General features: G+C 42.5%; 1 pseudogene across 1 annotated transcript in view, besides 1 other annotated feature; it reads right to left on the bottom strand.

The window, feature by feature from the left end:
- ALOX12P2 (arachidonate 12-lipoxygenase pseudogene 2) overlaps positions 1-17,237 on the bottom strand; it is a 46,774-nt pseudogene extending 29,537 nt beyond the window's left edge. Inside the window, exons 1-2 of the transcript NR_002710.2 lie at positions 16,753-17,237; positions 16,378-16,599 (exon numbers count right to left, since the gene is read on the bottom strand). The product of NR_002710.2 is annotated as an arachidonate 12-lipoxygenase pseudogene 2, transcript variant 1 (transcript). The remainder of the gene's footprint in view (positions 1-16,377; positions 16,600-16,752) is intronic.
- Positions 15,836-17,035: an enhancer, noted in NCBI's record as "MED14-independent group 3 enhancer chr17:6757097-6758296 (GRCh37/hg19 assembly coordinates)". NCBI's record gives its function as "activates an origin of replication core promoter dependent on BRD2, BRD4, P300/CBP and CDK7 cofactors, and independent of MED14, by STARR-seq in HCT116 cells {active_cell/tissue: HCT116}" and the evidence as "EXISTENCE:reporter gene assay evidence [ECO:0000049][PMID:35650434]".
- Positions 17,238-26,521: the final 9,284 nt, after the last annotated feature.

Here is a 26,521-nt window from a genome sequence, read left to right as displayed (position 1 = left end):
CTTAAAAATGGGCAAAAGAGGCCGTGCACGGTGGCTCACGCCTGTAATCCCAGCACTTTGGGAGGCCAAGGCGGGCGGATCACCTGAGGTCAGGAGTTCAAGACCAGCCTGGCCAACATGGTGAAACCCCGTCTCTACTAAAAATATAAAAACTAGCTGGGCATGGTGATGGGCACCTGTAATCCCAGCTATTCAGGAGGCTGAGGCAGGAGAATTGCTTGAACCCAGGAGACGCAGGTTGCAGTGAGCTGACACAGTGCCACTGCACTCCAGCCTCGGCGACAGAGCGAGACTCTGTCTCAAAACAAAAAACCAAAAAAAAAAGGGCAAAAGATCTGAACAGATATCTCATGAAAGAAGGTAGACATACGGCAAATGAGTATAGGAAAAGATGCTCAAGTCATATGCCATTAGGAAATTGCAAATTAAAACTACAGTGAAGCCAGGTGCAGAAGCTCATGCCTGTAGTCACAACACTTTGGGAGGCCGAGGTGGGAGGATTACTTGAGACCAGGAGGTCAAGAAGCCCGGGCAACAAGACCCCATCTCTGCAAAACAAATTTAAAAATTTTCCATGTGTGTTGTCATGTGTCTGTAGGTCCAGCTACTCTGGAGGTTGAGGCAGGAGGATTGCTTGAGCCCAGGAGGTGGAAGCTGCAGTGAGCCATGATTGTGCCACTGCACTCCAGCCTGAGCAACAGAGCAAGACCCTGTCTCAAACACTAAAAATTAAATAAATAAACAAACTACAATAGATACCAGTGTCAATACCAAATGCTGACAAGGATGAAGAGCAATAGGAACTTTCATTTATTGCTGGTGGGAATGCACGATGGCAGAGTGGCTTTGGAAAATTTGGAAGTTTCCCACAAACTAAATATATAGCTTTACCATCTGATCCAGCAGTTGTACTCCTAGATATTTAACTACTTATTTCAGCACAAAAACCTGCACATAAATGTTTATAGCGGTTTTATTCAAAATTGTCAACAACTGGAAGCAACCAAGATATCCTTCAATAGGTGAGTGAATAAACTGTAGTACAGTCATTCGATGGAATACGATTCAGCAACTTTTAAAATGAGCTATCACACAATTAAAAGACATGGAGCTTCTTGCCACTGAGTTTAAGAAAAAAGTAAGACATGGAGGAACTTCACACTGATGGCATTCTAGACAAGACAAAACTATAGAGACAGTAAAAAGATCAGCAGTTGGCAGAGGCTTGGAGAGAGCTGGAGAGGAATGAATAGGTAGAACATAGACAGTGTTAGGAGGTAAAACTATTCTGCATGATCTTGTAACGGAGAAATCATTATGAGTTTGTCAAAACCCTTAGAACCATACAATACCAAGAGTGAACTAATATAAACTATAGTCTTTAAATAGACTATATTTAACAATGTAAAGTATATGAACTGTAACAACACTAAAGCAAGATGCTAATAATAGGCGAAACTGTGTAAAGAGGAACAGGGATATGTGGGAATTCTCTGTGCTATATACTCAATTTTTCTGTAAATCAAATGCTGTTCTAAAAAATAAAGCCTATTGGCCGGGCACCGTGGCTCACACCTGTAATTCCAGCACTTTGGGAGGCCGAGGCAGGCAGATCACAAAGTCAAGAGATCGAGACCATCCTGGCCAACATGGTGAAACCCTGTCTCTACTAAAAATACAAAAATTAGCTGGGCATGGTGGTGTGCGCCTGTAGTCCCAGCTACTCGGGAGGCTGAGGTAGGAGAATCACTTGAACCCAGCAGGTGGAGGCTGCAGTGAGCTAAGATTGTGCCACTGCATTCCAGCCTGGGCGACAGAGCGAGACTCCGTCTCAGAAAAATAAATAAAGCCTATTCAAAAGCTTAATGGGAAGAATATTAAATAGTCCAATACCTGCAAGCCATAAACAAACTAATGAAGCCTGGATTCCCTTTAGTTTCTAACCCTAAAACCATCCTCATTTCAATACTCCCTGACACCAATTACTTCACGGTTGACTCATGTTTCCACCTTCTCCAGTAAATTCCTCTGCCCTGAATCACAGCATCTATTTGCCTTCACCTGCGTCAACCTAAAATAATCAAAAGAATCAGAGTCTAATTTAAAGGGAGTTTATTCAAGCACAAAGTGTGATTTTGTATTCTGATTTTGGAGCTCTGGATTGAGCTAATTTTATATCAAATTCAGGTGTTTAAGAGTTAATACAGAGTGTTTTTGTTTAGAGCCACTCTTTTTGCTACCTTATCAGCTAGCTAATTTTCTTTGCTTTCTGGGATATCTGATTTGAAATGGCCTGGAATTTTAATTATAAACAGTGACTGTGGTAATAATATAGCTTTCAAAAATCATGAAATGAGGTGGCCACTTTTTAAGGACTGACCAGAAGAAGTTAAAAATCCTGTGTTTCCATAGTGTTTCAAAATCATGAGCTACTCTAAAAACATATCTACTCTCTATATTAATATTAGCAGTTATTCCTCTTGCCAATTGACAAGTCCTGACTAATGTAATTAATTCTGTTTGTTGAGCTCAGGTGGTGCCTAGAAGCTTAACACTTTCCTCTTCTTCTTCTCCTCCTTCTTTTTTTCCCCCCAGTTAAAGATACTATTGTATAACCTGAGTGGTAAGTCCCAGATTTATCCTTTAAGTAAGATCCATTTGTAAACCAAACACCATTGGCAGTAGTAAGGGGGGTCTCTTTGAGGTCAGTCCTGGGAGAAAGAAGTTGATCAGTGATCAGTTAGGGTTATGCAATAGTGCAGTGTTTTATCTGGAAATGGAGACAGAAGAGTTGTAGGATTTAGGTTATTACATCTAGAGATGTTGATATGAGAAGCTGAAAGAAAGAAAACTTCGTATGAGACTAGTCTACTAACTGAATAATATTGAGTATGACGCGAGTTTAGCAAATGCTTTCACAAGAATGAGAAACAAAACCACTAAGGGCTGTCACCATGAGAATTTCGTCAGTTGCTTCAACTAACAAAGCAGGGGCTTTACGGCTCTCATGGAAGATGGAAATCCTCTTATTACAGAGTCTAACTGTTGGCTACAATACCCCACAGGTCTCTTTGGGCTCCATGTTTTTTAGTCAGGACCCTTAAAATCTTTCCATCACTTTCATGTACAAATACTGAAAATAGAAGATTATAATCTGCATGCACCAAAGCTTGGGCATTAGTAAAGTCATTTTTGATCATTTCTGACATTTCTTGATTTTCTTCTGTCCAAACAAGAGGGTCTGGAATGTCCTGTTTAAAAGAAGCATGTAAGGGCCAGGCATTCATTCATTCATTCATTTAGATGGAGTCTTATTCTTTTTGCCCAGGCTTGAGTGCACTGGCGCGACCTTGGCTCACTGCAACCTCTGCCTCCCGGGTTCAAGCGATTCTCCTGCCCCAGCCTCCCAAGTAGCTGGGATTACAGGCTCCCGCCACCACACTCAGCTATTTTTTTTGTATTTTTAGTAGAGGCAGGGTTTCACCATGTTGGCCAGGCTGGTCTCGAACTCCCGACCTCAGGTGATCCACCTGCCTCAGCCTCCCAAAGTGCTGGGATTACAGGCCTCATGCCTGAGCCACTGTGTCCGGCCAAGGGGCAGGCTTTTAAAGAAAAGTTTGGGATCCAAGTTTTTAAATGTCTTGCCAGCCCCCAGAACTCTCCCAGCTGTTTCTTGGTTCTTCATGGCAGAAGAGCTAAAACTCCTTTCAGTCGGTATGGACTAATAGAAAGTCCTTCCTTAAATATTAGGTGGCCTAAGCACGTCACTTGTTTTTGACAGGATTGGTGTTTTTCTTTTTTTTTTTTTTTTTTTTTTTTTTTTTTTTTTTTTTTTTTGAGACGGAGTCTCGCTCTGTCGCCCAGGCCGGACTGCGGACTGCAGTGGCGCAATCTCGGCTCACTGCAAGCTCCGCTTCCCGGGTTCACGCCATTCTCCTGCCTCAGCCTCCCGAGTAGCTGGGACTACAGGCGCCCGCCACCGCGCCCGGCTAATTTTTTTTTTGTATTTTTAGTAGAGACGGGGTTTCACCTTGTTAGCCAGGATGGTCTCGATCTCCTGACCTCATGATCCACCCGCCTCGGCCTCCCAAAGTGCTGGGATTACAGGCGGTGTTTTTCTTTAGAAGCTTTGTGTCCCTTTGAGTCTAATTGTTGTAACAAGTGAATCCCATTTTTAAGAAATAATTGCTTATCCTCTGAGCAGAGGAGTAAATTGCCTGTGTATTTTATTAAAATGAATTTTCAAGAAGTCAATATCTGGGAGATCTGCTTTTAATATTTGTGAAAAGTAAGCTGGGCTCTCAGTTCATCCCTGAGGCATGACTATTCATGTGTATTGTCTTCCTTCCCAAGTGAAGGTGAAGAGAAATTGATTATTTTTATCTACAGAAATATTAAAGAATGTACTACATAAGTCTATTACAGTAAAGAACTCAGCTTCAGCCGGCGAGGTGGCTCATGCCTGTAGTCCCAGCAATTTGGGAAGCCGAGGCAGGTGGATGGCTTGAGCCCAGGAGTTCAAGACCAGCCTGGGTAACAAGGGGGATAACCCCATCTCTACAAAATATACAAAAAGTAGCCAAGTGTTGTGGTGCGCACCTGTAGTCCCAGCTATACAGGAGGCCGAGGCGGGAGAACTGCTTGAGCCCAGGAGATTGAGGCCTCAGTGAGCTATAATCACACTGCACTCCAGCCTGGGCAACAGAGTAAGGCCCTGTCTCAAAGTAAAAAGAAAAGAACTCAGGTTCAGTTGGGATGTCAGTCAACAACATATGGAAGTTTGGCCCTTCTGGATGTCAAAGAGTGACTATGTTTTTAATTGCTGTCAGATTCTGTACAAACCTCCATCCTCTATCGTTTGATTTCCTTACAGGAAGGACTGGAGTATTACATTGGCTGTTACAGGGAATAATCAAGTCCTATTCTTAAATAATCTGAAACTATAGGCTTTATACCTTTTAGGGCTTCAGTTCTTAGAGGGTATTGTTTAAGGTTTGGAAGGGGTTTTGATGAATCTATTGAACTTTGATTGGGGTAGGCAAGATAAATTTTCCAAAATCAGTGGAAGACTTTAACCATGATTGATTAGGTACTACATTTAGTGGGTTTTATAATTTTTTACTACTCAATAATTTAGTGTCTTCCATGTCAATATGGATTGTTGACAAAAGTATGTCCAATAATTCAGTTTTATCATCTAATTCTAAATACATTTTCCTCTTGGGGAGAAAGAAATGTAGGTATTAAATAATTCTAAGAAGTCTCTTAGAGTATTTGTGACAACTACAGATTGAATTGTTTGTTTACTTCAAGGAATGGGACCTTGTAATAAGGTGGACTTTATTACAGATAAGGTGATTCCAGGTCTGTTAATAAGAGTTTGTGTTAGTTCTCCATTTAAAGTAATTTTTATTCATCTTAAAATAGAGCCAGGGTCATAAGCTCAAATATTTAATTGCGATTTTTCTGGCAAAACCAGAAGACTAGGACTCACAGGGTCCTAGTGAGGATCAGGAAATTCCTTAATTCTACCTTTAAGTTCTACCGTGACTGATACACTAGGGCAGGTTAATCCCTACCAGACACTGGCTGTTCCAGGGATGGAACCAGAGCAGAAGCAGGGGGAGGAGAAAGAAGAGGTCGTTCTAGGTAAAGTAGCCCAGGTAATAAAGGACAAAGAGAAGGAGGAGGTGAGGGAGGAGGAGGAGAAATTTCAGCTGTCTTTTTAAATTTGGAAATTGTTTTAGGTAACTTTTTATTCTCCTTTTGTAAAGAAGTAACTCTATTAAAATCTCTTTTGGATGTTTTAAATACCATTGAAAAGAACTCTCCTAACTATTCTGTTTTATCCTAGAACCAGCTTTTTCTTATTGAGCACACAGGTAAATTAGTTGAGGTATCCCACTTTGGCCATTGCAATTTTAGTTTTTCATGAGTTATGTGCAACCATTTTCTAAATAATGACAAGAAGTGGCACCATAAGTTTCATACATGAGTGCAGCTGGAGTTTCTAAAGGTGGATCTCTCCTTAGGGAGAAAGACTTGATTTTGGAGGGACAATAGTCCATAATTTGAGTTCTCTTAAGTGACCGAAGACCGTGGAAATGGAAATTCTGGTCACTCAAGAAGAGTTTAGCTATGTCAGCTGAACCAAGCTTCAGAACCTAGAAAATATAAAATCACAAATTTAATTTGAGCCACAAAGATTTGCTTCCTCTTTTCAAAGAGAAACACTTTCTCCTTCACCAAAGTTGAACAAGGGAAAAGGCTGAAAAGTTTTGGGAATAAAACAAAACCTTATCCTCAAAGGAATGTGAAAGCACAAATCTGCAAACCACAGAATCTCTAGAGAAATAACAAATGAAACTCCTACTTTTAAAAGTAAAGCTTCAATTTCAGTTTTCTTGAGCGTGGAATCAGGATGCTTCAATAAAGTCTGAATCTCAGCCAAAACCAGAGAGATTCAAAATCTGAGAGAAGCCAGGCCAGAGACCCTCTCCAGGTCCAATGAAGTCAAAGAAGTAAAAGCCACTTGTGCTGTACCAAAGCTCCAGATGTCAGCAAAGCAGTGAAGATTGCAGAAGGCTTACTTCAGGTCCCATCTGCAGGTTATCAAATGTCAACCTAAAATAATTAAAAGAGTCAGAGTCTAGTTTAAAGAGAGTTCATTCACACACAGAATGTGAGGATGGCCCACCCAGAAATCCCAACTCCAAAGGAATAGAGTCAGCAATCCGAAGCAGGGAAGTTAAGATTTCGTTTAGATAGGCAGAGACAGAGGAGTTTTTAGCAGGGTTGCATTATTCATACAGGGTTTGCACATAGATAGTCACAGAAATCTGATTAGTTATATGCAGTGTTTCTTATGAGTAAGAGTACATTTAACATTTTTTTTTGCAAAGGCTGTAATAATCGTGGGTTTTCTGTCATCTTGTCTAAGCAAATCAGGACAATAAAGGGGAGTTAATCTACAACAACAGTCATTAATTAAGAAGGCAGGAAGCTTTTGTCCCTGCCATCATTTAATTCTCTCTAGTCATTGAACAGATCAAGAAAAATAAGAAAACGAGTTAACCTATGATTATAATCTGAGAACAGAAGCTGAGACCATACATAACTCAGATCACAGTCACATCTCTATCAAGGCTTAAAAGTGTTCTTTGGGGTTCCAACAGCTTTTAAATTTATTCATTTTCACACCTGGGGAAATTAGCGGTACACTTGGACTATTATGCCTCAAAGATTAACAGCCTATTTTTTCCCAGACATTAAATGCAAATTTAGAGAGGAGCCAATGATGGCTGACTAGATGCAGCCAGGAAGAGCATCACTCACTGAGACACCAGACCATAGGGAAGACTGCCATACTCCAAGCAGACCTTCAGAGGGAAGGCATTGAGAGTGGACAGAGGGAAGACGCAGACCCTGAACTGAAGCTGGAAGAAAGCTCCTCTAGGTGGCTTTGGCCTTTGGTGGCTGCCAGACCTAGACAGAGAAGGGAGGTCTTGCCCATGGAATGGGACCAGTTTGATCTGAGTGTGCCCCTGTTTACCAGCCTCTCCTGGGGCTCCAGCCCTGCTGCATCTGCTTGCAGCACAGACTCAGATGCCAAACCAGGGTGCTTCCAAGGGCCGTCATAATAATTCCTTCACCTGCTCACCATGCCTAACTCTGGCTCCAGCAGGCCAGTTTCCACTGTTGTGCAATCAACCACCTTGCAGCCTCTCCCCACTGCAGCCTCCTCCCACCACTTTTCCAGCACACAGTCACCCACAGCCCATGCTCACAGCTTTGTCAGTATGAGTGTGGGCAGATCTCACCTCCCCTCCCCTGCCAGCACATGTGTGCACACCCTGCTACCCCATCACCACCAGCACAAGCACGCATATAGACACCACCACCCCACCCCCACTAGTGCCTGGTTCCCACTGACGCATGCATATCCCACCATGCCATCACCACCAGCGCTAGTGCATGCATGAATGCTGCCACCCCACCCCCACTGGTGCCCTGCCACTGCTGATGTGCAGGCACCCTACTGTGCTGCTGTGGCTGCTGGCACACACATGTAAGCACGGATCCCACTGCCACTGCCACAACAAAGCACTTTGGCCAGCACCCAACCAGCAGAGTGTTATGGCCAGTGAGCCAGGAACACCTTAGCCCCTCTTATTGCAGCAAGTTTCTAACCTCGAAGGGCCAGAGAACAAAGCTAGAGCCCAATACTAGCCCCCCAGGGTTAGAACATGCAGACCAGGAGTGATAAACTGAGGCTTGGCCCCCTGAAATACTTTAAACAAAGACAGTTGACTGAACCCATGTTGTACCACACTCAAACCCTCAAGGGCATCGAAGAATATAAACTCAAAAAACCCCATGCAAAGGAAAGCAACTTCAAAGATCAAAGGAACATCAGCCCACACAAATGAGAATCAACCAGCTCAAGAACTTTGGCAACTCAAAAAGCCAAAATGTCTTCTCACCTTCAAATGACCACACTAGTTCTTTGGCAAGGGTTCTTAACTAGGCTGAAATGACTGAAATGAAAGATACAGAATTCAGAGTCTGGATAGGAATGAAGATCATTGAGATTCATTAGAAAGTCAAAACCCAATCAAGCCCAGGCACGGTAGCTCAGGCCTGTAATCCCAGCACTTTGGGAGGCTGAGGTTGGTGGATCACAAGGTCACAAGACCAGCCTGGCCAAGATAGTGAAACCCTGTCTCTACTACACACACACACACACACACACACACACACACACACACACCAGGAATGGTGGCAGATGCCTGTAATCCCAGCTACTTGGGAGGCTGAGGCAGAGAATTGCTTGAATGTGGGAGGCGGAGGTTGCAGTGAGCCGAGATTGCACCACTGCACTCCAGCCTGGGTGACAGAGCAAGATTCTGTCTCCAAAAACAACAACAACCACCACCACCACCACCAAACAAAAAACCCAATCAATTGAATTTAAGGAATCCAATAAAATGATACAAGAGATGAAAGATGAAATAACCATTTAAAAAAAGAACCAAAATGAGCTGATAAAGCTGAAAACTCTGTATAAGAATTGCATAATGCAATTTCAAGTATTTACAGCAGAATAAACCAAGTGGAGGAAAGAATCTCAGGGCTTGAAGACCAGTTCTTTGAATCAACTCAGTCAGACAAAAATAAAAAAAAGAATAAAAAAGAATAAACAAGATCTCCAAGAAGGCTGGGCATGGTGGCTCACACCTGTAATCCCAGCACGTTGGGAGGCCAAGGTAGAAGGATCACTTGAGCCCAGGAGTTCAAGGCCAGCCTAGGCAACATAGCGAGACCCCATCTCTATTTTATTAAATAAAAAAAATTTTAAACCTCTGAGCAATATAGGAGTATGTAAAGAGACAAAATCTATGACTTACTGGTGTCCCTGAAAGAGAGGTAGAGAAAGCAAGCAACTTGGTAAACATATTTGAGGGTATTGTCCATGAGAATTTCCCCAACCATGGTAGAGAGACTGACATTCAAATTCAGAAAATACAGAGAACCCCTGTGAGATACTGTACAGGACAACCATCCCCAAGACACATAGTCATCAGATTTTTCAAGGTCAACATGAGAGAAAAAATATTAAAGGCAGCTAGAGAGAAGGAGCAAGTCACCTACAAAGGGAACCACATCAGCTTAACAGCAGTCCTTCCAGCAGAAACCCTACAAGCCAGAAGGCACAGGGGGCATATATTCAGCATTCTTAATGAAAAGACATTCCAACCGAGAAATTTCATATCCAGCCAAACTAAGCTTCATAAGCAAAGGAGAAATAAGATCCTTTTCAGACAGCAAATGCCAAGGGAATTCATTACCACCAGACCTGCCTTACAAGAGGTCCTCAAGGGAGTGCTAACTATGGAAACAAAAGACTGTTGCCAGCCACCACAAAAAAACACATTAAGTACATAGACCATTGACACCATAAAGCAACTACACAATCAAGTCTGCATAGTAACCGGCTGATATCACAATAACAGTATCAAACTGCACATATCAATATTAACCTTGAATATAAAGGTGCAAAATGCCCCACTTAAAAGACACAGAGTAGCGAGTTAAAAAACTAGACCCAACTATTTGCTGTCTTCAAGAGACCCATCTCACATGCAGTGACACCCACAGGTTCAAAGTAAAGGGATGGAGAAAAATCTACCAAGCAAATGTAAAACAAAAAAGGCAGGGTTGCTATTCTAATTTCAGACAAAATGGACTTTAAACCAACAAGTCAAAAATGACAAAGAAGGTAAAAGATTTAATTTAACGAGAAGAATTAACTATCCTAAATACATATGCACCCAACATAGGAATACCTAGATTCATAAAACAAGTTCTTAGAGAGCTACAAAGAGACTTAGAAAACCACACAATAATAGGGGAAGACTTCGATACCTCCACTGACAGTGTTAGACAGATCACTGAGGCAGAAAACTAAGAATGATATTTGGGACCTGAACTCAACACTTGACCAAATGGACTTAACAACATCTCCAGAACTCTCCACCCCAAAACAATAGAATATACATTCTTCTTATCTGTACATGGCACACACTCTAAAATTGGCTACATAATCGGCCATAAAAATGGTTTTCAGCAAATTCAGAAAAACTGAATCTTACCAATCACACTCCAGGACAAGAGGGCAATAAAAATAGAAATCAATACAAAGAAGATTGCACAAAACCATACAATTATATGGAAATTAAACAACCTGCTCCTGAATGACTTCTGGGTAAACAAGGAAATTAAGGCAGGTATCAAGAAATTCTTCAAAACTAATAAAAACAAAGAACTTATCAGAATCTCTGAAACATACCCAAAGCAGTATTAAGCAGAAAGTTAAATCCTCACATCAAAAAGCTAGAAAGATCTCAAATTAACCACCTAATATCACACCTAGAGGAATTAGAAAAACAAGAGCAAACCAATCCCAAAGCTAGCAGAAGATAAGAAATAACCAAAATCAGAGATGAACTGAGTTGAGACTTGGGAAACCATACAAAAGAACAAAATCATAAATTGTTTCCTTGAAAAAATAAATAAGATTGGTAGACCACTAACTAGACGAATAAAGAAGAAGAGAGATCTAAGTAAACACAATCAGAAATGTCAGAAATGACTTTACCACTGACTCCAAAGAAATACAAAGGAAAAAGAACCCTCACGGACTATTATAAGCACCAGTGCACACAAACTAAGAAACCTACAAGAAATGGATAAAATTTCTAGAAACATACAACCTCCCAATATTGAACCAGTAAGAAATTGAAATCCTTGTCCCAAAATTGAATTAGTAATAATTAAAAAAAAATCCCTACCTACCAGGAAAAGCTCTGGACCAGATGGATTCACAGCCAAATTCTACCAGATGTCTAAAGAAGATCTGGTACCTACTGAAACTTTTCCAAAAAGTTGAGAAGGAGGGACTCTTCCCTCACTTATTGTTTGAAGGCAGACTCATTCTGATACCAAAACCTGGCAGAGACACACAAAAAAGGAAAACTTCAGACCAACATCCTTGATGAACACAGATCCAAAAATTTTCAACAGATTACTGGCAATCCAAATTCATCATCACATCAAAAAGCTAACCCACCACAATCAAGTAGGCTTTATCCATGGGATGCAAGGTTGGTTCAATATATGCAAATCAATAAATGTGATTCATCACATAAACGGAACTAAAGACAAAAACCACACGATTATCTCAATAGATGCAGAAAAGGCTCTTCAATAAAATTCAACATCCCTTCATGTTAAAAACCTCAACCAACTAGGCACTGAAGGAACGTAACACAAAATAATAAGAGCCATCTATGCAAACCTACAGCCAACATCATACTGAATGGGTAAAAGTTGGAAGCATTCCTTTTGAGAACCAGAAAAAGATAAGGATGCCCTCTCTCGCTACTCCTATTCAACATACTTCTGGTAGTCCTAGCCAGAGCAATCAGGCAACAGAAAAAAAATAAAAGACATGCAAATAAGAAGACAGGAAGTCAAACTATCCCTGTTTGCAGATAATATGATTCTATACCTAGAAAGCCCAATAGTCTCTGCCTCAAGGCTCCTAGATCTGATAAACAACTTTAGCAAAGTTTCAGAATACAAAATCAATGTATGAAAATCAGAAGCATTTTTATACACCAACAACATTCAAGCTGAGAGTCAAATCAAGAATGTAATCCCACTCACAACAGCCTCACACAAAAAATAAATACATAGGAATATACTTAACCAGGGCAGTGAGACATCTCTATAATGAGAATTACAAACGCTACTGAAAGAAATTCAAGATGACACAAATGGAAAAACATTCCATGCTCACGGATAGGAAAAATCAATATTGCTAAAATGACCATATTCCCCAAAGCAATTTACAGATTTAATGCTATTCCTATCTAACTACCAATGAAATTTTTCACATAATTACAAAAAACTATTCTAAAATTCATATGAAACAAAAAAATAGCCCGAATAGCCAAAGTAACCCTAATCGAAAAGTACAAAGCTGGAGACATCACATTACTTAATTTCAAACTATATTATGAGTCTACAGTAACCAAAACAACATGATTCTGGTACAAAAACAGACACACAGACCAATGGAACAGAATAGAGAGCCAAGAAATAAAGTCACACACCAACACCATCTGACCTTTGACAAAGTCAACAAAAGCAGTGAGGAAAGGATTCCATATTCAATAAATGGTGCTGAGATAACTGGCTAGCCATATGCAGAAGACTGAAACTGGACTCCTTCCTTTCATCATATACAAAAATCAACTCAAGATGGATTAAATACTTAAATGTAAAACCTAAAACCATAAAAATCCTGGAAAATAACCTAAAAAATACCATTCTGGACATACGACCTGGCAGAGATTTCATGATGAAGAAACCAAAAGCAATTGCAACAAAAACAAAAATTAACAAACTGACCTAATTAAACTAAAGCGCTTCTATACAGAAAAAAACCCCACAAACTATTAACCCAGTAAACATACGGCCTAGCAAACTATGCATCTGGCAAAAGTCTAATATCCAGACTCTATAAAGAACTTAAACAAATTAACACGCAAAAAACAACTCCATTAAAAAGTGGACAAAGGACATGAGCAGACACTTTTCAAAAGAAGACATACATAGGGCCAAAAGGCGTATGAAAAAAAGTTCAACATCACTAATCATCAGACAAATGCAAATCAAAACCACACTGAGGTACCATCTCATACCAGTCAGAACGGCTATTAATAAAACCGCAAAAAATAACAGCCGCTGGAGAAGTTGCACAGAAAAGGAAATGCTTATATACTGCTGGTGGGAGCGTAAATTAGTTCAGCCACTAGGGAAAACAGTTTGGCATTTTCTCAAAGTACTTAAAACAGGACTACCATTTAGCCCAGAAATCCCATTATTGGGTATATACCCAAAGGAACATAAATTGTTTTGCCCCAAAGACACGTGGACACATATGTTCACCTAGCACTATTCGTAACAGTAAAGACATGGAATCAACCTAAATGTCCATCAATGGTAGACTGGATAAAGAAAATGTGGTACGTATACATCATGGAATACTACATAGCCATTAAAAAAAAGGTCATGTCCTTTGCAGCAACATGGATGGGGCTGGAGGCCATTATCCTAAGCGAACTAATGCAGGAACAGAAAACTAAAGACTACGTGTTTTAACTTATAACTGGACACAAGGAAGGGAACAACAGACACTGAGGCGTACTTGAGGGTGGAGGGTGGGAGGAGAGTGGGGATCAAAACAAACTACCTATCAAGAAACCTGCTTATCACCTGGGTGACAAAATAATCTGTACACCAAACCTCTATGACACAAAATTTACCTACGTAACAAACCTGCATATGTACCCCTGAACCTAAATGTTTAATATTTTTAAAAATGCAAATTTAAAGGATTTGGTTTTCCTTTGTAATTGCATCGTCATGCAATACGTAGATGTCCACCTTCTTTGCTCCAGTACATTTGATAATTTATTGGCAGATACTCGATACCTTTTGGATGATCTGACTTAAAAGGGACATTGTTTTCAAGAGACAAAATATAATTTCACTATCCTTAGTTTTCCTATTTTCAGTTTCACTCTCTAAAACATGACATCTCCTGTAAGGGAAAAACTTTGTCTCCAGATGTATGAAAAGCATCCTTAATTACACTTTATCTAAAACAATGAGACAACTCCTGGACTTTCTCAGACTGGTTGGCTATTGTAGAATGTGGATTCCTTGTCTGAACCCCTAGAACGAGAATTAACCTCTATAACAGTATTGGATCCTTTTAAAAACCTCCCTTTCCTCTTCCCCCAGCTTGGGACTCCCCAACTACTCCTTGCCCTTCTGCCTATTCATTCATGAGAGAGAACATACTTTAGATGTCCTGTCTCAGAAATACAAAAGGAGCCTGAGGCCCATTGGATATTTTACCTTCTTGCTAGGCCCTATAGCTCAAGCCTTCCTTCCTTGCTTCTGAGTTGTCATGGCAACAGCAAATTTGATTCAAGCCACAGTTGATTTTGTGCTAGGTCATACTTCGCACACTTCTGTGCCCAAGTGGTTCACATCTTTGTCCTGACTGCGAACCCCCAACGTTTTTCAACCTCTAACCTTACCTCTTATGAGATCCTTTTGTTTGCTCCTTCTCACATTACTATTCACCATTACCAAAATCTTAACCTTGTTACCATTTCTCTCCCAACTGAAGTACAACCACCATGACTGTATTTCAGCCACCTAAGCTCTAACCTTTCCCCGTCCTGATCTTTCTGAAGTACCTCTTATAGATCCAGATCTCATTTTCTTTGTTGATAGTTCATACCTCTGACTTCAGAAAGAGGTTTCCAGGCTGAATATGCCATTGCATATATCCACAGTCCCATAACATATGAGGCTTTACCCAGTGCAAATTATATCAGATAGAATAATTTGTGGCTCTCACAAGAACCTACACTTTAGCTAAGAATCAAAGAGTTAACATCAACACAGATAACAGATATGTTTTTAGGGTATTACATGACTTTGACCTGTTGTGGAAAGCCAGGGAATTTGTGACTACTAGTTTAAAATGGGAAATGTGGGTAACCTCCTAGAGGCCTTATTATTACAAGAGCTGGCCATACTCAAGATAGAAGCTTATATGGGCAATAGACCCCTAAGGCAAGGGGAAGCTCAGCTGATAAGTATGCTAAGTAGCAGTTTATAAATCTGTCCCAGTCCCACTGTAATCAGACCAGATATTAAACCTACTCAGTTTGCCAATTTATCCTCTATTTGAGGACATTAAAATATCTCAGTTAAAGGCCCCTGAAGATGAAAAGGCTAATTGAAAACAAGGTGGATGTTTTACCCACCAAAAAGTCCAAAGATAGGCTTTGAAGACACTGAGAAGGCTACTTGGGCTCTCCTTCGTCCCTGACCTGAAGTTCAGTCTTCACAAAATTTTTCATCATGGGAAAATACTGACTCAATGCCTTCATCATCATTTGTGGGGAAACTTCACTCCTTACTTGGAATATCTGCCAACAACAGAATCCTGGAAAAGTTATAAAGGTAGAACGAGGAAGAGAGCCACCTCTAGCAGGACTCTTTCTCTATTGGCAAAGATATTTTATTCAACTTCCTAAGTCAGTGTTATTAATATGCCCTGGCCATTGTTTTTATGTTCACTTATTGACTAGAAGCTTTTCCACGTAAGAAGCCCACAGCTGCAACTGTTTGTTCTCTTAGAACAAATTTTCCCCTCCTGAGGAATTCTACTTGCCCTGTCAAGTGACCAGGGAACTCATCGCACCAGTAAAGTCATCCAAAAAAATCCAAGAGTTCTTCCTCTGTCCCCCAAATTACATGATCCTCACCATATCCAGTCATGCAGAATGATTGAACAAGCAAACAGACAAAACTAAAATTTTCAAAACGTTCTGAGGTGAGGCCAGGTGTGGTGGCTCATTCCTGTAATCCCAGAACTTTGGGAGGCTAAGGCAGGAGGATTACTTGAGACCAGCCTGGACAACTTAGTGAGACCGCATCTCTAGAGTAAAAATACATATTTATATTTTTAAAACTTTCAGAGAACTCAACCTTCCATGGCCCAAGGTCTTTCCCTTGGTCCTAATTGCTCTCTAGCCTTTCCTTGTTAGACCACACCTGCCCCCTCAAAAAACAATTACTAGCAGAACTATGAGAATTCCCTACTCTATAAGGGCAACAGAAGACTCCAGTGAAGTTAATTCAGACATGATTTCAGAATTCAACCTTGAATGCATGTCTCACAACTTAAAAAGTACAGGAGTTACTTACAATAAAAATCTACTTCACCTGGAGATCTTAAACCGGGGCTCTCCAGGATTATGGCTGCCTCTGCTGAGTCATGCAGGTTGTCAGAGAAGCAGGGGAAAGCCGGCAGTCACAGGCCTCCCCCAGATCCCACGCACACCGAAGGGCTGGTCTCACTCCCACCGTGTCCCCTGCAACACCTCTGAGTCTGTTTCCAGACAGAGGACGGGCTTGAAAACTTGCCCGAGGCTTTCCGCCTCCCACCTGTGAAAGAAAAGGGCTTTAGTTCTTCCCCCACCTGTGAAGTCTGCAAGCCAGATCCGCATCCTCCCCCAAGTTCCGGCCAGGAGGCTTCTCGCCCCACTCAAATTGTTACAAAATTCAGCTAGGGAAGTCCTTCTCCCGGTAGGGTTTTACCTCCTGCTCCTCTGGCCTCCCTCCTGATGAATCCCAGTGGTGCCAGGCAGGAATAGGCTACCTGGGGATTCAAAGAGCTCCCAGGGCCTCCCTGCTGCCTCCTCTGCCCCTGTATTTCGCTTGGTCCGGTTCTCTAACTTGACTCAGCTCCAGGTGAAGTCGGGAGCATCTCCCGGAAGCAGACCTTCAGCTTCTCCAGTAGGGGGTGTGTGTTCCGGAAAGGAGGGTCTCCCTTTCCCACTTCCGCAGTTGGGGCACTCACAGTATTTGGGGTGTCCCCCGGGTCCTGCAGGAGCAGTCTGCTTCTTTCAGAGGGTCTGTGGGCCCTCTCTCAAAATATTTTTTTAAATATTAAAAGCAGCTGCTGATAGGGTTTGTCCCCACCAAATACCATGTTAAAATTTGATCTCCAGCGTTCAAGGTGAGGCCCGGTGGGAAGTGTTTGGGTAATGAGGACAAATCCCTCCTCAATGGTTTGGTGCCTTCCCGTTGGTAATTAGTGAGTTCTTGTTCTATTACGTCACGTGAGAGCTGGGCTGGTTGTTTAAAAGAGCCTGGCATCTCTCTAGCTCACTTTCTCACCGTGTGACATGCCTGCTTCCCCTTCACCCTTCAACATGAGTAGAACCTTCCTGAGTCCCCTATCAGACATAGATACTAGTGACATGCTTCTTGTACAGTCTGCAGAATCATGAGCCAAACAAACCTCTCTTCTTTTTTTCTTTTTTTTTTTGAGATGGAGTCTCGCTCGGTAGCCAGGCTGCAGTGCAGTGATGCGATCTGGGCTCACTGCAACCTCCGCCTCCCAGGTCCAAGTGATTCTCCTGCCTCGGCCTCCGGAGTAGCTGGGACTACAGGCACGTGCCACCACGCCCAGCTAATTTTTTTATTTTTAGTAGAGACGAGTTTCACCATGTTGGCCAGGATGGTCTCAGTCTCTTGACCTCATGATCCGCCCGCCTCAGCCTCCCAAAGTGGGAGGCCCCTCTTTTCTTTATAAATTACCCAGCCTCAGGTATTCCTTTATATTAATAGTAATGCAAAACAGACTAACACAGATGGAGAAATGGATTCCAGCTTTACTTATTAGAAGCTATACCCTAAAATGCGTTGAGGGGGAATACCAGTAAGTACCAAGACAAAGAGCTCTCAGAGAACCCCCCAAAGATCCAAGCCTTGGAGTTACCCGTTTCCTAGAATACATGAAAGTGAGAAATACCAGGACTGGCTAAAAGTCTATATATGGAACAATGCCCAACCCACATACCCCACCTTGCACGGAAGATACACCTTTGTCAAGACCCTAGAGTTTTATTCTCTGGAGAAACTGAAATGAAGAGGGTCTGAACTTAGAGCATTAGGTACAGAGATCAGTTCGATTGGGGGATAACGTAAAATGGGGATAACGTCAAAGTCTGCAAAATGAACAGTGAAGCCCCATCCTTTTTCCCGCTCCCTGCCCCTAGAACATCAGGAGCCAGGTGTTGTTCTGAATTCAGGCAATTGGAAGAATAATCTATTAAAAAAAAATTCTGGGCCGGGCATGGTGGCGTAATCCCAGCACTTTGGGAGGCTGAGGTGGGCGGATCACAAGGTCAGGAGATCGAGACCATCCCGGCTAACATGGTGAAACCCCGCCTCTACTAAAAATACAAAAAAATTAGCCGGGCGTGGTGGCGGGCGCGCCTGTAATCCCAGCCACCTGGGAGGCTGAGGCAGGAGAATGGCGTGAACCCGGGAGGCGGAGCTTGTGGTGAGTAGAGATCTCGCAGCTGCACTCCAGCCTGGGCGACAGATCGAGACTCCAACTCGAAAAAAAAAAAAAAAAAAATTCTGAATTGCCCCAGAGAAAATATCTCCAAATATCAATATCTGGGGATGCCCCAATAATCACCACCAGACTACTCAGAAAAATTTACAAGCACCACTTGTACACATAGAGCTTCAGGTCTTTCTTTTTATAGCCAGTATTTTCCTGAGGATAGTTCTTGCTCTTGGTCCTTTACTAGTTGTTAACTTGAAACACTGTGAACATTTTCAATGAGCAAAGGCAATCTTTATTTCAGGAATAGTGTTTCTAAGTTTTCTGTGGATATATAGTGCCATTTGTTCTATCTTTCCTGGAGTATACTTTGCAGATGACTCTCAAATCTGTGTGTCTAGCATGGACCTTTCCCTCAGCCCTGCACATTCACACACAACATCTTTTTCTTGAGGTACCTCCAGCTAGTGAAATGCAAATTAAAAAAAAAAAATTAGTCACTGCTCTCCCTCTGACCCCTCATTATTACTGTCACCATATCATTTTCCTCATCTACACTGGTGTTTTGGGTAATATTATTCCCCTAGACATTCATCCTACAAATTTTCAGTCAATTCTGATTCTTCTAACTCTTCTTCATCCTTCCCTCACCACCAAGCCACTGATTCAGCGTTTATTGAATTCCCCACAGCTGTCTTTTCCTTGCCCTTCCCACTCACCTTTCCCTCATTATCATCTCCTATTTGGACTGCTGATGTACTGTCAGAATTGGCCTTCTCACTCCACTACTTTTCTTCAATCTTCAAACTTCTGCCAAGTTAATCTTTCAGATGACCAGCTCTGATCATCATCCTCCCATATCAGAAATCAACATTGGCTCCCTGCCATCACTGCAACCTAAAAATAAACAACAAACAAACAAACACCTTTCCAAATGCAGTGCATAGATTAATCTTCCTATACCTCCTTTTTAATGACAAAAAGTAATACATTTCTGGGAAGACAGTTTCAGTGGAGGCAGCATAGAATTTGGATCTTCCTGGATATCCACATAAAAACAGACAGAACTAGATAGCAAAATCAAATACTCATGAATCACATTTACAAAAAGCTAGACAAGTAATCCCTGCAAACTCCAAAACAGGACAAACCACCAACAGCCATAAGACCTATGTGTTATCCACATCTCACCTGTGCAAGAGAACTTGGAAGAAAACAACAGGACATATGACAAACCTGAAAATGGTAAAATTGTAGTAGGCCAATTTGGGAACAACAGCTGGAACTAGGAGGGAACATGCCCATTTGTTTTAGGCCATTCTCGCACTGCTGTAAAGAAATACCTGAGACTGGCTCATTTACAAGAAAAGAGGTTTAATTGGCTCATGGTTCTACCGGCTGTACAGGAAACATAGTGGCTTCTGCCTCTGGGAAGGCCTCAGGAAGCTTCCAATCATGGAAAAAGGCAAAGGGGGAGCAGGCACATCATATCCTGAAGGCAGGAGCAAGGAAGAGGGGGAGAAGGTGCCTGATATGGTTCGGATCTGTGTCCCCACCTAAATCTTGTGTCAAGTTGTAATTTTCAAATGTCAGAAATGGGACCTGGTTGGAGGTGATTGGCTCATGCGGGTGGATCCTTCGTGAATGGTTTAGCACTATCCGTTGGTACTGTTCTTATGATAGAGTTCTCATGAGATCTGGTTGCTTTAAAGTGTGTGGCACCTCTCCCCTCTCTCTCTCTTCCTCTGGCTCCAGCCATGTGGCTCTCCCTCCACCTTCCATCATGATTTTGTTTCCTGAGGCCTCCCAGAAGCCAAGTAGATGCCAGCATCATACTTCCTGTTCAGCCTGTGGAACCATGAGCCAATTAAATATTTTTTCTTTATAAATTACCCAGTCTCAGGTATTTCTTTATAGCAATGCAAGAACAGACTAAAACAGTGTCGCATACTTTTAAACGACCAGATGTCAGGAGAAGTCACCCACTAGCGCGAGAACAGCACCAAGGAGATGGTGATAAACCATTCATGAGAAATCTCCTCGACAATCCAGTCACCTCCCACCAGGCCCTACCTCCAACAATAGGGATTATAGTTTGATATGATATTTAGAGGGGACACAGATCCAAAGCCTATCACCACTGTAATAGCAAGTAGGTGCCAGGCACAGTTGATAAGATCTAAGGACCTACGGGAACTCCTGAAACTGGTCAGCCAAGGCTGTCTTCCAGGATGGAGCGGAACACTTCAGAGAAACCCTTGGAAAAACTCAACTGAAATAAATGAAAGAAAAGATCCAGAAAAGCACAGGGTGGGGAAACAAAGCCAGGAAATCTCCAAAAGCAGGCCATCATGTTTTTGAACATTACAAGAACAAAAATGGATGGGGATCCAAGAAGTTAGATGTGTTATCTGAACAAGCTTCTTTTTATTAACATGGAAAACAAAATTCACATAAAAATGGCAGTAGAAAAGTAGTGAAGTCAAATCCCATACAAAGTTACTATAAGAAAAGAGACAATAAAGGGCAAAATAATATCATTACACAAAACAAAAGCACAACGGAAAGATGAACAAAAACCAAAGCAAAGGATCAGAAAGAATACTAAAAGCTGTAATTCAAGAAAATGAGGGGGAACTTGGCAAGATAGCCAAATAGGAACAGCTCCGGTCTGCGGCTCCCAGCGAGACCTATGAGGAAGATGGGTGATTTTTGCATTTCCAACTGAGGTACCCAGTTCATCTCATTGGGACTGGTTAGACAGTGGGTGCAGCTCACGAAGGGTGAGCAGAAGCAGGGTGGGGCGTCGTCTCACCTGGGAAGTGCAAGGGGTCAGGAACTCCCTCCCGTAGCCAAGGGAAGCCATGAGGGACTGTGCCATGAAGGACTGTACTATTCAGCCCAGATACTATGCTTTTCCCACGGTTTTTGCAACCAGCAGACCAGGAGATTCTCTCAGGTGCCTACACCACAAGGGCCCTGGGTTTCAAGCATAAAAGTGGGTGGCCATTTGGGCAGACACTGAGCTAGCTGCAGGAGTTTTTTGTTGTTGTTGTTGTACCCCAGTGGCACCTGGAACCCCAGTGAGACAGAACCTTTCACTCCCCTGGAAAGGGGGCTGAAGCAAGGGAGCCAAGGTGGTCTTGCTCAGCGAGTCCCACCCCCCTGGAGACCAGCAAGCTAAGATCCACTGGCTTGAAACTCTTGCTGCCAGCACAGCAGTCTGAAGTCAACCTGAGATGCTCGAGCTTGGTATGGGGAGGGGCATCTGCCATTACTGAGGCTTGAGTAGGCGGTTTTCCCCTCACAGTGTAAACAAAGCCACCAGGAAGTTTGGACTGGGCAGAGCCCGCCACAGTGCAACAAAGCCGCTGTAGCCAGACTGCCTCTCTAGTTTCCTCCTCTCTGGGCAGGGCATCACTGAAAGAAAGGCAGCAGCTCCAGTCAGGGGCTTATAGATAAAACTCCCATCTCCCTGGGACAGAGCACCTTGGGGAAGGGGCAGCTGTGGGCACAGCTTTAGCAGACTTAAATGTTCCTGCCTGCCGGCTCTGAAGAGACCAGTGAATCTCCCAGCACAGCACTAGAGCTCTGCTAAGGGACAGACTGCCTCTTCAAGTGGGTCCCTGACCCCCATGCCTCCTGACTGGGAGACATCTCCCAGCAGGGGTTGACAGACACCTCATACAGGGGAGCTCCGGCTGGCATCTGGCAGGTTTCCCTCTGGGATTAAGCTTCCAGAGGAAGGAGCAGGCAGCAATCTTTGCTGTTCTGCAGCCTCTGCTGGTGATACCCAGGCAAACAGGGTCTGGAGTGGACCTCCAGCAAACTCCAGCAGACCTGTAGAAGAGGGCCCTGACTGTCAGAAGGAAAACAAACAAACAGAAAGGAATAGTATAAACATCAACAAAAAGGACGTCCACACCAAAACCCCATCCAAAAGTCACCAACATCAAAGACCAAAGGTAGATCAATCCATGAAGATGGGGAGAAGCCAGTGCAAAAAGGCTAAAAATTGCAAAGGCCAGAACGCCTCTTCTCCTCCAAAGGATCACAACTCCTTGCCAGCAAGGGAACAAAACTGGATGGAGAATGAGTTTGACAAATTGACAGAAATAGGCTTCAGAAGGTGGGTAATAACAAACTCCTCCAAGCTAAAGGAGCATGTTCTAATCCAATGCAAGGAAGCTAAGAATCTTGAAAAAAGGTTAGATGAATTGCTAAGTGGAATAACCAGTTTAGAGAAGAACATAAGTGACCCAATGGAGCTGAGAAACACAGCATGAGAACTTCGTGAAGCATACACAAGTATCAATAGCCGAATCAATCAAGTGGAAGAAAGGATATCAGAGATTGAAGATCAACTTAATGAAATAAAACGTGAAGACAAGATTAGAGAAAAAAGAATGAAAAGGAACGAACAAAGCCTTCAAGAAATATGGGACTATGTGAAAAGACCAAACTTACATTTGACTGGTGTACCTGAAAGTGAAGGGAGAATGGAACCAAATTGGAAAATACTCTTCAGGATATTATCCAAGAGAACTTCCCCAAACTAGCAAGACAGGCCACATTCAAATACAGGAAATACAGAGAACACCACAAAGATACTCCTCAAGAAGAGCAACTCCAAGACACATAATCATCAGATTCACCAAGGTTGAGATAAAGGAAAAATGTTAAGGGCAGCCAGAGAGAAATGTCCAGTTACCCACAAAGGTAAGCCCATCAGACTAACAGCGGATCTCTCTAGAGAAACCCTACAAGTCAGAAGAGAGTGGGTGCCAATATTCAACATTCTTAAAGAGAAGAATTTTCAACCCAGAATTTCATATCCAGCCAAACTAAGCTTCATAAGCAAAGGAGAAATAAAATCCTTTACAGACAAGCAAATGCTGAGAAATTATGTCACCACCAGGCCTGCCTTACAAGAGCTCCTGAAGGAAGCACTAAACATGGAAAGGAACAACCAGTAGCAGCAACTGCAAAAACATACCAAATTGTAAAGACCATCGACACTATGAAGAAATTGCATCAACTAACGGGCAAAATAACCAGTTAGCATCATAATGAGAGGATCAAATTCACACATAACAATTTTTTTTTTTTTGAGACGGAGTCTCGCTCTGTAGCCCAGGCTGGAGTGCAGTGGTGCGATCTCGGCTCACTGCAAGCTCCACCTCCTGGGTTCACGCCATTCTCCTGCCTCAGCTTCCCGAGTAGCACCTGCCACGATGCCTGGATAATTTTTTGTATTTTTAGTAGAGATGGGGTTTCACTATGTTAGCCAGGATGATGTCGATATCCTGACCTCGTGATCCGCCCACCTCGGCCGCCCAGAGTGCTGGGATTACAGGCCAATGGAACAGAACAGAGGCCTCAGAAATAACACCACACATCTACAACCATCTGATCTTTGACAAACCTGACAAAAACAAGCAGTGGGGAAAGGATTTCCTATTTAATAAATGGTGTTGGGAAAACTGGCTAGCTATATGTGGAAAACTGAAACTGGACACCTTCCTTACATGTTATACAAAAATTAACTCAAGATGGATTAAAGACTTTAACGGAAGACCTAAAACCATACAAACCCTAGAAGAAAACCTAGGCAATACCATTCAGGACATAGGCATGGGCAAAGACTTCATGACTAAAACACCAAAAAAAATGGCAACGCAAGCCAAAATTGACAAATGGGATCTAATTAAACTAAAGAGCTTCTGCCCAGCAAGAGAAACTATGATCAGAATGAACAGACAACCTACAGAATGGGAGAAAATTTTTGCAAGCTACCCATCTGACAAAGGGCTAATATCCAGAATCTACAAGGAACTTAAACAAATTTACAAGAAAAAAACAACCCTATCAAAAAGTGGGTGAAGGATATGAACAGACGCTTCTCAAGAGAAAATATTTATGCAGCCAACAAACACGAAAAAAAGCTCATCATCACTGGTCGTTAGAGAAATGCAAGTCAAAACCACAATGAGATACCATCTCACGTCAGTTAGAATGGCGATCATTGAAAAGCCAGGAAACAACAGATGCTGGAGAGGATGTGGAGAAATAGGAACATTTTACACTGTTAGTGGGAGTGTAAACTAGTTCAACCACTGTGGAAGACAGTGTGGCGATTCCTCAAGGATCTAGATCCAAAAATACCATTTGACCCAGCAATCCCATTACTGGGTATATACCCAAAGGATTATAAATCATTCTACTATAAAGACACATGCACGTATATGTTTATTGCAGCACTAGTCACAATACCAAAGACTTGGAACCAACCCAAATGCCTATCAATGATAGACTGGATAAAGAAAATGTGGCACATATACACCATGAAATACTGTGCAGCCATAAAAAGAATGAGTTCATGTACTTTGCAGGGACATGGATGAAGCTGGAAACCATCATTCTCAGCAAACTAACACAGGAACAGAAAACCAAACACCGCATGTTCTCACTCATAAGTGGGAGTTGAACAATGAGAACACATGGACAGACACAGGGAGGAAGAACATCACACACTGGGGCCTGTCAGGGGATGGGGCGCAAGGGGAGGGAGAGCATTAGGACAAATACCTAAAGTAGATGATGGGTTGGTGGGTGCAGCAAAACTTCATGGCACGTGTATACCTATGTAACAAACCTGCACATGTACCCCAGAACTTAAAGTACATAAAAAAAGAATCTAACTCTTGATTAATGGATATAACACCTTATTTTATTTTTCTGAAGAAATTGCTTATCAAATTTTTATTTTCACATTTTTTTCTACGTCTTCCATCATTTCTGCTTTCTCCAAGTTCCTTTTTCCTATTTGTTTGGATTTCTTTCTTCCAAGTTGGAGGCTGTCTTTAAACATTTGGAGATCCTGGGCTGCCTGTTTCTGTCTAAGTGTGACTCACTAAAAAGATGAATGAGAACTCTGAGGGAGTAGGTGAGGCTTGTCCACAGAAGGACTTACAACAAGGTCGCTGGACAGCAAACTGGCTTTTAAACTGGGGCGGGACTCCAAGATGTCAGAATGTGGGGGTCTTTTCTCAGGAGCCATTCAGTTATCCAGAGAGAATGTGTCAAACCTCCTGCTGGCAGTGAGGGTGGGGAGGCGTGCAATGGGTGGGTGGAGACAGCTGGGGTGCGCCTGCTGTAGGAGGAGGAAGGGGGTCCATCCTCCCCCTATACAGGCCACTTAGCCCCCCTGTTTTTAGTCCCATGCCTTATGCCCACCTTCTGTAGATTTGGATCTCCCCGTCCTCAGCACCTAGAGTTCTATAAGACCACCTCGCTTCTGCTTATTAGTTTCCTCATCTGCAGGGAGCCAGGTAGTGATCCCCAGCTCTGCCAAGTCAGCTCCTGCTCCTCTCCCTCTTCCAGATATTTGTGGGACTCTCTCATCCATGTTCATCTCTTCCCTCATTTTATCACCTTATGAGTTTATATATTCTTGATTCCTTTATTGCCATTTCAGTGGAGTTTTGGAAGGGGGAAGTGAGCAATCTGCCATGCTTACTCAGAAGTGGGCTGCATTTTAAAAACAAAATCGGCTGCATTGCTCAAAGATGAGGGAGGGTTTAGGAAAACCAATTTGTGTACAAGACATGCTTTCTCATGCATATATGTACGCAGGCCTTACATGATGAAACTCCTGTGAGAGGGGCCAGCCTGTGAAATTCCCAGATGGTGAACATAAGCCCCACCTCATTGAATTGCTATGAGGACTAAATGAGCTAACACAAGTAAAATGCTTAGCACAGGGCCTGGCATTTGAGTTCTCAAGGGATAGCAGTCATGATTATTCGGATAGTTTTGGGATGAACTTGACTAAGGGCTCTGGGGATTTAGGTGAACTTCTCTTCGTCCTCTTCTGTGCCCTGAAGGAGGAAGCACCTTCTGCAGGCTTCTCCTGGGAACCCCACCAGCCTGTGGATCTCAGAGCTCTTTGGAGTTTGAGAAGAGAATGGGGAAATCCCTCTGCTCTTGACAACCCTGACACTGCAT

The sequence above is a fragment of the Homo sapiens genome, chromosome 17 (genome assembly GCF_000001405.40).
Source record: "Homo sapiens chromosome 17, GRCh38.p14 Primary Assembly".
Lineage (NCBI taxonomy): Eukaryota > Metazoa > Chordata > Mammalia > Primates > Hominidae > Homo > Homo sapiens.
The sequence above is the reverse complement of the archived record's forward strand: the minus strand, read 5'-3'. Positions and strand labels throughout refer to the sequence as shown.